This window comes from Homo sapiens, chromosome 7 (genome assembly GCF_000001405.40).
Source record: "Homo sapiens chromosome 7, GRCh38.p14 Primary Assembly".
Taxonomy (NCBI): domain Eukaryota; kingdom Metazoa; phylum Chordata; class Mammalia; order Primates; family Hominidae; genus Homo; species Homo sapiens.
Genome location: NC_000007.14, coordinates 129,502,298 through 129,513,869, shown reverse-complemented (window position 1 = coordinate 129,513,869; position 11,572 = coordinate 129,502,298). Strand labels below are relative to the sequence as shown.

The window sequence follows — 11,572 nt, the reverse complement described above, 5'->3', positions numbered from 1 at the left end:
TTTGGGCTCAGAACCATGAATGGAGACAACGGTGCAGGGGCTGAGGAGGGGCAGGAAGAGCCAGGAAGACAGAGCAGGAGGCAAGGATGGAGTGCTCAGGGAGTCAAAGACGGCGTCCGCACTTGCAAAACGCTGGCTTTCACATCTGGAGAATTTAGGCCTCTGGGCCGAGGAGAAAGAACTATAGTTTCACCTCTTAGGCGTCTCCTTACAGGGCTAGGGAGATCTAGAATATCAGCCGAATGCCCAGGGCAAGTAAGTGCCTGGCACCAATTCTATAACTCGGGGCCAGCCAAGTTTTAACAAAGTAGGCAGAAGGTGGGACGAAATAGAGTGTGGAGGGAAGGAGGGAGAAGAGTCAGGTGAAATATGGAAAAAAGAGGGATGGCCAGGTGCGATGGCTTTCACCTGTAATAAAACACTTTAGGAGGCTGAGGCAGGTGCAGTGGCTCATGCCTGTAATCCCAGCACTTTGGGAGACTGAGGCGGGTGCAGTGGCTCACGCCTATAATCCCATCACTTTGGGAGACCGAGGCGGGCAGATCACCTGAGGTCAGGAGTTTAAGACCAGCCTGGCCAACACGGTGAAACCCCATCTCTACTAAAAATAAAAAAATTAGCCTGGGCTGGTGGCGTGCGCCTATAATCCCAGCTACTTGGGAGCCTGAGGCAGGAGAATCGCTTGAAACCGGGAGGCAGAGGTTGCAGTGAACTGAGATTTCGCCACTGCACTCCAGCCTGGGCAACAGAGTGAGACTCCGTCTTAAAAGAAAAAAGAAAGGGATGGGCAGATTTGCCCCCTTTGCCCTGCATCCAGCCATTTCACACTGTCAGCCACTTCTCACCATCTGCTTGCAAGACTGGCAGGGTCAGAGCATTCGTGACCATCTTAGCATCCGTGGAGCCTGTGGCTAATTCAAATCAAACAGAGTCAGACTGCTGAGAAGAAAATTATAGAAACAAAGTATTTATTATTTTCCATTAAAAAAAAAAAAGGAAATGGTGCCCAAGAGAGGAATGTTCCTAAGGAAACCCAGTGTTTCTTGCCGTGTCTTCTCTAAATGACAAACGCTCTTTGGCAAAAGAAAACAATTAATGCAACTAGAACTGCCTTCTGAGAGCAAAGTTTAATCCTGACCCAGAATTATAATAATTTCTGAAAGTTCTATTAATTTCAGCACACTGTGTAGGAATTACTCAGGCTTTTCCCATCCTATAGCTCCTAAAAAACCAAAGTGGCTAACCATATCTGGCATAACAGAGGAAGTAAGGTGCATTTCCTGATCTTCCACCATCACAGAAAAGCACACTTAATTTGCATCTCAAGTCGTCTGGAGTAAAGTCTATGTTGCTGGCAACAGTTGTGTTATCCTGACTTCTCTTCCCCAGGTCCTGTTGTCTGTAACAGAGATGTGTTGTGAAATGCTGTCACTTGCTTCTCCCTTTCTTTCCTTTGGGAGCACCCGGCCAATGGAAGCCTCGCAGATGCAGGCAGTCAGCGACGTTGTGGGCGATGTAGTAGAGGTTCAGCATGGCCGCGGGGCTGAGAATGTCCACTTCTGGTTTCTTCTGTTTCTTCCCATGAGACTTGCCCTGGCCTTTTCCTTTTTTCCCTTTAGCTGGCTTTCAAAGACAAATATAAATATGGGAGGAGGGAAGTTAGTTTTTTGGTTTTTGTTTTTTTTGAGACAGGGTTTCACTCCCAACACCCAGGCTGGAGTGTAGTGACATGCTCTTGGCTCACTACAACCTCCACCTCCCGTGCTCAAGTGATCCTCCTGCCTCGGCCTCCCAAGTAGCTGGGATTACAAGGTGTGCCCCATCACTCCCGGCTAATTTTTGTACTTTTAGTAGAGACAGGGTTTCACCATGTTGGGTAGGCTGCTCACAAACTCCTGACCTCAAGTGATCTGCCCACCTCAGACTCCCAAAGTGCTGGGATTACAGGTGTGAGCCATCTTGCCAGGCCGAGTTAGTTTTTATAAACTTGGTATCATTTTCAGTATTTCTGTATTGAACAAGGAAAAAAAATTCCTAAAAGGAAATAAGTCAAAATAGCAGCCACAACAAACAGTTTGCATCGTCCTGTCTTCTCTAAATGACAAACCCCCTTTGGCAAACGAAAACAATTAATGCAACTAGAACTGCCTTTTGAGAGCAAAGTTTAATTCTGACCCAGAATTATAATAATTTCTGAAAGTCACACGCAATCTAATTTGACAAATGTTTATTAAGCACCCTGATTAAAAGAGACCCAACGTAATGCAAGCTGTGGCCCTTGTTTGCATTCTTATTTGAACAAGCTGCAAAAAGATGTCTTTGAGTTAATCAGGGAAATCTGATCATGTCAAGGAATTATTAGTAATTCTATTAGGTCTGACAATGGCAGCAAATCACAGAAGAAGAAGTCCACACGTTTCTGAAGTGCACACTGAAATCTGTAGGGATGAAATGAAAGAAGGCCTGAGGTTTGCTTTAAAACACTCAGCTCCCCCGCTGCCCCCGACCCAGAAAAAACAGATAAAGCAAATGTGGCAAAATCCTAATTATTTCTGAATCTGAGAAATGGCTATATGAGGATTTAGTTTATGATTTTATTTTCATTTATGTTTGGAAATTTTCATAATACACATTAAATTTAAAACAAGTTTGATAATCAGGATGCAAATATGTATGTTGGCACTTGTTTTACAAGTAATCTCTACCTCATTAAGCAGTCATGAGGTTTAAGTGAGATACAAATATAAGATACTTAGCATAGGCTGGGCGCGGTGGCTCACGCCTGTAATCCCAGCACTTGGGAAGGCCAAGGCGGGTGGATCACCTGAGGTCAGGAAGTTCGAGACCAGCCTGGCCAATAAGGTGAAACCCCGTCTCTACTAAAAATACAAAAACTAGCTGGGCATGGTGGCAAGCGCCTGTAATCCCAGCTGCTCAGGAGGCTGAGGTAGAAGAATCGCCTGAACCCAGGAGCCAGAGGTTGCAGTGAGCCGAGATCACGCCACTGCATTCCAGCCTGGGGGACAGAGCGAGACTCTGCCTCCCCCCGCCTCCCCGCAAAAAAAAAAAGACACTTAGCACCATGTCTGATGTGAGACAAATACTCAATAAATGATGACTGTCATCACCTTCCTTTTTTTTGGAGACAGGGTCTTGCTGTGTCACCCAGGCTGGAGTGCAGTGGCACAAACTCAGCTTACTGTAACCCTGACCTTCCAGGCTCAAGCGATCCTCTCACCTCAGCCGCCCAAGTAGCTGGGACCACAGGCATTAGCCACCATTTCTGGCTAATTTATTTTTGGTAGAGACAGTCTCGCTATGTTGCCTAGGCTGGTCTTAAACTCCTGGTCTCAAACGAGCTTCCCATCTTGGCCTCCCAAAGTGCTGGGATTACAGGCTTGAGCCACTGTGCCCGGCCTGTGCCATCATCTTTAACACCACCAACACTCAGAGCTGTATTTCTATGTATTATTCCTGCCTTCAAAATGGAAATGTAGGGGCTCAGTTAGGCTACCCAGCATGCAGAAACCAGTGTCCACCAGGCTCGGTGTCTATTCTCTTTCCATGACTACCCCATAAGGTCAGTGTTCTCTGGGAAAATAAATGGATACCATCCTAATCTGGAAATAAACTATTACATTTTGAGCTTGTCAACCTGTTTTTCATGGATTGTGCTTTTGTCATACCCAAGAAATCTTTGCCTAACCCAAGTAACAAGCATCTTCTATATTTTCTTCTAGAAGGGTTATAGTTTTTGGTTTTACATTTATATTTGCTAGAACTGCACAAAACTGAGTTGAACTTCTCTATGTCCTCTGACCCACACATACAGAAAATAACCAATGGAAGTATATTATTAAAAAATGTCTCTTGTAGGCAAGGGAGAGGAGAGGAAGGTATAAACGTTCAAGGACACCTGCAAGGGGTAAGCATTTATATAAAATAGATGTCCTATTCACAGCATTGCGGTCAAAAAATGTCCCAAGCTAGACAAAGAGGAACATAGTTCATGTGTTACAACTACTAAAATAGGCCGGGCGCGCTGGCTCACGCCTGTAATCCCAGCACTTTGGGAGGCTGAGGCGGGCAGATCACAAGGTCAGGAGTTCGAGATCAGCCTGGCCAACATGGTGAAACCCCGTCTCTACTAAAAATACAAAAATTAGCCAGGTGTGGTGGCGTGCACCTGTAATCCCAGCTACTTAGGAGGCTGAGGCAGGAAAATCTCTTGAACCCGGAAGACGGAGGTTGCAGTGAGTCGAGATCACGCCACTGCACTCCAGCCTGGTGACAGAGTGAGACTCCGTCTAAAAAAAAAAAACTGCTGAAATACATTTTTGCTAGGTGAAATAGAGTACATTCCTAGATACAAAACCCGGGAATGAAGATGAGACGTATCTTGCAATGCAGTGGCCTGGCTTCTCTGAGAGAATCCACATGAAAATCCTATGTAACTGCATTCTCCTGGTAAAACAGCCCCATGAGGTACGGGATGTACATTTTACCAGAAGCTCTTAAAGACTTTGGGTCTTGATTTTCTTTCTTTTTTATTTTTTGAAACGGAGTCTTGCTCTTGTTGCCCAGGCTGGAGTGCAATGGCATGATATTGGCTCACTGCAACCTCTGCCTCCCAGGTTCAAGTGATTCTCCTGCCTCAGCCTCCCGAATAGCTGGCATTATAGGCACTTGCCACCACGCCTGGCTAATTTTTGTATTTTTAGTAGAGACGGGGTTTCGCCATGTTGGCCAGGCTGGTCTTCAACTCCTGACCTCGTGATCTGCCTGCCTCGGCCTCCCAAAGTGCTGGGATTATAGGCGTGAGCCACCACACCTGGCCTGGGTCTCAATTTCTTTATGTCTTTGTACTTTTTTGCATGCCAAACACACTTGACTTAATGTATGTGTTTTAATCTTTAAAATGGTTTGGGACCTAAAATTCACATAAAAGTCTGACATTTTTATTTGAAGTTCTCATCTTATTGTAAAAAATTGGCAAACTGATTCTAAAATTCATATGGAAACACAAAGGATGGGAGATAAAGGTTTGACACTGTTTTCAAAGTTCTCATCTTTTTGTAGAAGATTCCAAAATTCACATGGAAAAGCGGACTTAGGAAAAAAGAACCGGCTGTGTGCAATGGCTCACGCCTGTAATCCTCACACTCTGGGAGACTGAGGCAGGTGGATCACCTGAGGTCAGGAGTTTGAGACCAGCCTGGCCACTACAGTGAAACCCGGTCTCTATTAAAAAAATACAACAATTAGCCGAGTGTGGTGGCGGGCACCAGTAATTCCAGCTACTCGGGAGGCTGAGGCAGGAGAATCGCTTGAACCCGGAAGGCAGAGGTTGCAGTGAGCTGAGATTGCGCCACTGCACTCCAGCCTGGGTGAGAGAACAAGATCCTGTCTCAAAAAAGAAAGAAAAAGAAAAGAACAAAATTGGTAGACTAATACTACCTTATTTCAAGAATTATTATAAAGCTACCATAACAAGATGGTGTGATAGTGGTGTCAAGATAGGCAACTAGAACAATGGGACAGAATAGAGTCCAGAAATAGATCCACATTTGATCAGCTAATTTTCAACAAAGGTATTGGTGAAGCAAAGATAATCTTGTTCAACATATGGTGCTGGTATAATGAATATCCATTTACAAAAAAATGAACCTCAACCCATAGTCTCACCATATATAAAAATTAACTCAAAATAGATAATAGAAATAAATATAAAACCAAAAACTACAATACTTCTACAAGAAAATAGAGAAGACACTTTTGTTACCTTGGATTATTAGGCAAATATTTCTTGGATATGACATTAAAAGCACAACTCATGAAAACAACTTGATAAACTCACCATCAACATTTAAAACTTTTGTTCTTCAAAAGATATTATTAAGAGAATGAAAAGACAAGCCTCAGACTGGGGGAAATATCTACAAATCATGTATCTCATAAAGGCCTATATGGAGAACAAACAACTCTCAAAACGCCACAGTAAGAAAACCACTCAATAAAACATGTTCAAAGGTTGAATAGACCCTTCCCCAAAAAAGATATACAGATGGCAAATAAGCACATGAAAAGATACTCAACATTAAGTCATTAGTGAAATGCAATGAAAACCAGGAGATACCACCACATATATTTTGGAATGGCTCAAGTCAAAAAGACTGATCCTACCAAGTATTAGTGAAGATGTAAAGAAACTGAAACTCTCATACAACTCTGATGGAAATCTAAAATGACAGAACCACTTTGAAAAACAGTTTGCAGCCTCTTTAAAAAGTTAAACACATGTCTACCATATGACCCAGTCCATTCCACTCCTAAGGTGGAAATGAAAGCATATGTTCATTCAAAGACTTTTACATGAATGTTCATAGTAGCTTTATTTGTAATAGCTAAAAACTGGAAACAGGCTGGGTACAGTGGCTCATGCCTGTCATCTCAGCACTTTGGGAGGCCAAGGTAGGAAGATCGCTTGAGCCCAGGAGTTCAAGATCAGCCCCGGCAACAAAATGGGACCCCATATCTATATTAAAAAAAAAAATTGGCTGGGCACAGTGGCTCACGCCTATAATCCCAGCACTTTGGGAGTCCGAGGTGGGCGGATCACAAAGTCAGGAGATCGAGACCGTCCTGGCTAACATGGTGAAACCCTGTCTCTACTATAAATACAAAAAATTAGCTGGGCATGGTGGTGGGCGCCTGTAGTCCCAGCTACTAGGGAGGCTGAGGCAGGAGAATGGTGTGAACCCAGGAGGCGGAGCTTGCAGTGAGCGCAGATTGAGCCACTGCTCTCCAGCCTGGGCAACAGAGTGAGACTCCATCTCAAAAAAAAAAAAAAATTAGTCAGATGTGGTGGTGGTATGCATCTGTAGTCCCAGTTAAGGTGGGAGGATCACCTGAGCCCAGGGAAGTTAAGGCTGTGGTGAGCCACGATCAAGTTGCTGCATTCCAGCCTGGGTGAGAAAATGAGACCCTGTCAAAAAAAAAAAAAAAGAAAAGAAAGAAAGAAAACCTAAAAGCCCATCAGCAGGCGAATGGATAGACCATGGTATAACCATACAATGGAACACTACTCAGCACTAAAAAGGAATAATTACTGATAAATGATATAACATGGATGAATTTCCAAATAATTACTCAAGTAAAAAAAGTCAGTAAAAAAAAAAAAAAACATAATGTATGACTGCATATATATAAAATCTCAGAAACGATAAACTAATCTAGAGAGAGGGCAGACCAGCCATTGCCTGGGAGGGTTGGGAGGGAGTAGGGGTACAGAGAGGGGCAAGAGAGAAAGGTGGATTACAAAAAAATGGGTGATGGCTGTATTTACAATCTTGATTGTGGTGATGGCTTAATGAATGCACACATTTGCCAAACCTATCAAAGTGTGCATTTTATTTTTTATTTATTTTTTGAAACAGGTCTCACTCTGTTGCCCAGGCTGGAGTACAGTGGCACGATCATGGCTCACTGCAGTCTCGATCTCCCAGACTCAAGCGATCCTCCCACCTCAGCCTCCTGAGTAACTGGGACTACAGATTTGCACCACCATGTCCAACTAATTTTTTCTACTTTTTATAGAGATGAGGGTCTCATTATGGTGCCCAAGCAGGTCTCGAACTCCTGAGCTCAAGCTATCCTCTCGCCTCAGCCTCCCAAAATTCTGGGTTTACAGGCATGAGCTACCATGCCTAAAGCATGCATTTTAAACATGTAAAATTTATTGTATATACATTCCACCTCAATAAATCTGTTAAGAAATTATTACATGGGAATAATAAAGGTTTTGTTTCTGGGCCCATCCATTCCTTGGATTGGTTCAATACAACTTTGTGGCTCTTGGCTTTTCCTGGTCTCAGAACATGCAGCTCCCAACTTAAAACCCTCCAAACTCCTTAAGGAAAACCACTTGACTCCAGCCACACTGGACTTTCTTCTAGTTCCCAACACTCCGAGCTTCTCCCTGGGCAATGCTTGCTCTTCCTGCAGACCTTCTAATTGAAGGGGCAGAATTCGTTGCTTCTCTTTACGCTAGCCTCTGCTCAAATATCACCTCTTTAGAAAAACCTCCTTGACAGGCTGGGCATGGTGGCTCACAGTGGCTCAGCACTTTGGGAGGCCGAGGCCGGTGGATCATCTGAGGTCAGGAGTTCAAGACCAGCCTGGACAACATGGTAAAACCCCATCTCTACTAAAAATACAAAAAAAATTAGCCAGGCACGGTGGCGGGTGCCTGTAATCCCAGCTACTCAGGAGGCTGAGGCAGGAGAATTGCTTGAACCGGGGAGGCGGAGGTTGCAGTGAACCGAGATCGCGCCATTGCACTCCAGCCTGGGCGACAAGAGTGAAACTCTGTCTCAAAAAAAAAAAAGAGAAAAAGAGAAAAAGAAAGACCTCCCTGACACCATGTCTATATTCTGTCTGTAACTGGAGTGACCATATAATTTATTGCCCAAATCAAGATACTTCAACAAATATAAACAAACATAAACTGAGACTGTCCCAGGCTAGGGACAGGGGGAAGTACAGTGGTCTGTCTTTAACAGTCTCCCAGCAACCCCAGTAGAGTCACTGTCCATCTCCTTCCCCGCACCACTTTTCACTAGTTAATAGTAATTGTTGTTTATGTTTATTGTTTGTTTCCCTCACCAGAGATTCTGTCTATAAATTTACCACTGAATTCCCCAGCCTACACCAATATCTGCCACACTGCAAGGATGCATAAATATCTGCTGAGTGAATGAATACATCACAACTGAGATGCAATGCAATAACAGGATTTAGAAAGCAAATGTGGATTTCTGCTTTTCTGAATTTTAAGATGCCTCCTTCATTCATTCAACAAGTATTTAACAAAAATCTACTGTGTCCCAGGCCCTGTATTAGATGGGGAGCAAAGGAGATCTCACGATGCTTACAGTCCAGTGAGGTCTGAGGAAGACACTAGTCACCTAATCACAAATGCATTTACTCACGACCCATGCTGTGAAGAAAGGGCCCTATTGGCCAGGCATGGTGGTTCACACCTGTAATCCCGGCACTCTGGGAGGCCGAGGCAGGTGGATCACTTGCACCCAGTTTGAGACCAGTCTGGGAAAGATGGCAAAATCCGGTCTCTACAAAAATTTAAAAAATTAGCTGGGCTCAGTGGCACACACCTGTAGTCCCCAGTACTCAGGCTGCTGAGGTGGGAGGACCCCTTGAGCCCAGGAATTCAAGGCCAAAGTGAGCTATGTATGATGCCATCGCACTCCAGCCTGGGCAACAAAGCAAAACCCTATCTCTAAAAAAAAAAAAACAAAAACAAAGAAATTAATAAAGAAAGACCCTATAATGCCTATAACACATGGAATTATAATAGCACAAGATGGGCAAGGGCTGACCTCATCTGGGCCATCAAAGGAAGGGCTCCCTAAGCGTGGCCTGTGGGCCGAGAGTAGGGAATTCCAAGACCAACAGCCTATGCAAAGTCTCTGAAGCCGGAGAGAAGGTGCACAAAGAGACGGAAACCCAAAAAAGGCCAACATGGCCAGCCCACAGGCAGCCAAGGGGGCCAGTGAGAGCAGCTAAGGAAGGAAAGGTAGGCAAGGTTCCGCTCTGGCTTGCAGGCTCTGTGCACTAATGTGTTTGACCCTCATTCAAGGAGCATGAATTAACTGGCATTTGCTTCAATGGCTATGTACAGCATTCTGCCTCAGTTCCCTGGGCCCTGAAAGAAATGGCAGTTGGCTGGGCACAGTGGCTCACACCTGTAATCCCAGCAATTTGAGAGGCCAAGGCGGGCGGATCCCTTGAGCCCAGGCGTTTGAGACCAGCCTGGGCAACATGGCGAAACCCTGTCTCTACTAAAAATACAGAGATTAGCCAGGCATGGTGATGCCTGCCTACGGTCCGAGCTACTTGGGAGGCTGAGGCGGGAGGATCACTTGAGCCTCAGAGATGGAGGCTGCAGTCAGCTGTGATCACACCACTGTACTCCAGCCTGTGTGACAAAGTAAGACCCTGTCAAAAAAAAAAAAAAAAAAGGTAATAGCTCTTTACCTTTAATAGCTCATGGAATGACTCTCAAACCAAGAAATTTTTACTTAATCCTTTTACACGAAACAAACTGGAAAGAACACAGAAACTTAATGATTTCTACACTAGAGTCTAATGAGGAATAAGGCTTTCCAAGGAAAAACAGGCAAAGCACCAGAGGTGAGGTGCAAAGGGCTGTGGGCGCTGAAGGAGCGATGGGGAAGCAGGAGGCAGGGTCCTTCTGATCCAAGCCTCAAAGAAAACGGATCAAGACAGGGAAGGCGCAAGGGGCTTCCAGAAGAACGCGGGTTTAGTGTGGGATGCAGGGTTTTTGTTCGTTTTGTTTGTTGTTGTTTAGCAGAGAAGATATGGCAGAGAAAGCTCGAGGTTGAGGCCCCTTTAGCAAGGGCTCTGTGCGCCCAGCTCAAGCGTGCAGTACTTAGTTTAGCAGACAATGATGCCTCCCTGAGGACTTGGGGCAGGGGCTGGAAGGTCACAGCCCTTCTGGAAAGAGCAGCGAGGGTTGGAAGGAGGTCGTAAGTGACTGGATGAGGGCTGAGAACAGGAATGCTGTTGACAGCAAGGTGGTGGTACCAGGCTCACTCTCTGCTTCCTGAGTCTGCAGAGCAGTGGAGAATCCCGCGCGGGCACCCAGGGTGGCTACGGCAGCTAACAGCTCGGACCCGTCACTGTGGGCATGGCCTGGCGCCCTGACGTGCCACACCACGGTGCCACCCTCCCTTTATTTTCCACATCAACCGTCTGGGTGTGGGGGCTGCTCAACAGGACCACGACCTAAAACCTGGAAAGACGGCTGGCCTGACTCCGCGGCTGCTGCGCCCCCAGCAGGCGCGGACCGCCGGGCACCCCTTGTCCCTCCATCTTTTCGCCACGCGTTGAGGTCGACCCCAGGGAGAGGCGGTGACCTCGGCGCCCGCGCCTCTCCGGGACAGCCTGGGGCTCCACGGCGCGCGCCCTGGCCCCGGGTACTTTAGGGAGACGGGGATTACCATGGCGATTCTCAGCCGAGCAGGCAGGCGTGGTGGACTCTCCCGATCCCGAAGCCCTTAGCATCCACCGGGGCCGCTGCCCCCAGCGCCCGTTCCCCTAGCACCCCCGGCCCCTTCTCGGCCCTCCTCAGGGAACCGCCACGGGCCCAGCCTCACTACGCCTCCCCGCCACGCCTCGCTGGGAGGAGCGCGGCCGGCTCGGGAGGCAGCCAGCCGCGGAGCCGCCTGGACGCGAGGCACCTGCTTGCCCCACGCGGCACCTAGGCCGCCGCAGCTGTGGGCGCTGGGCCGGCGTGCGCCTCGGGGGCGGGGCCGCGCGCACAATCACCGGGCGTGGGGCAGGGCCTCGCCGTGGTTACCGTTGCCAGGGCAAAGCGGCAGCGCGCGGAGGGTGAGCGGAGCGGGGTTCCGGGCTTGCGCGCGCGGGATGGGCCGTCACCTAGTACGAGGCCGACCGCGGCCTCCAGCGCCCGGAAACCCAGTTCGGCGCTTTAGCGTCTGGGTTTGGGCTGCCGGAGCGGCGGGCGCGG

At 47.0% G+C, this 11,572-nt stretch overlaps 1 protein-coding gene across 2 annotated transcripts, besides 1 other annotated feature; it reads right to left on the bottom strand.

The window, feature by feature from the left end:
- Positions 1-951: 951 nt before the first annotated feature.
- Positions 952-11,339, bottom strand: SMKR1 (small lysine rich protein 1). 2 transcript variants are annotated; one of them, NM_001195243.2, is made up of 2 exons: positions 11,043-11,339; positions 952-1,623 (listed from the first exon to the last, which is right to left on the bottom strand). In NM_001195243.2, exons 1-2 carry the CDS (start codon positions 11,043-11,045, stop codon positions 1,429-1,431), a joined length of 198 nt encoding a protein of 65 aa, NP_001182172.1. In that variant the 5' UTR covers positions 11,046-11,339; the 3' UTR covers positions 952-1,428. The 2 variants fall into 2 exon arrangements, with proteins under 2 accessions (NP_001182172.1, XP_024302388.1); XM_024446620.2 differs by having other exon boundaries at positions 952-1,619.
- Positions 11,191-11,530: a silencer, noted in NCBI's record as "silent region_18631". NCBI's record gives its function as "represses an Ori minimal core promoter by ATAC-STARR-seq in GM12878 lymphoblastoid cells {active_cell/tissue: GM12878}" and the evidence as "EXISTENCE:reporter gene assay evidence [ECO:0000049][PMID:35858748]".

Bases quoted from the DNA above. Each gene is read 5' to 3' on its own strand.
- SMKR1 (XM_024446620.2), bottom strand. From the start codon at position 11,106: ATGCTAAGGGCTTCGGGATCGGGAGAGTCCACCACGCCTGCCTGCTCG. The intron at 1,620-11,042 runs GTAATCCCCGTC...TTTGAAAGCCAG, and splicing joins CTCGGCTGAGAATCGCCATG to CTAAAGGGAAAAAAGGAAAA.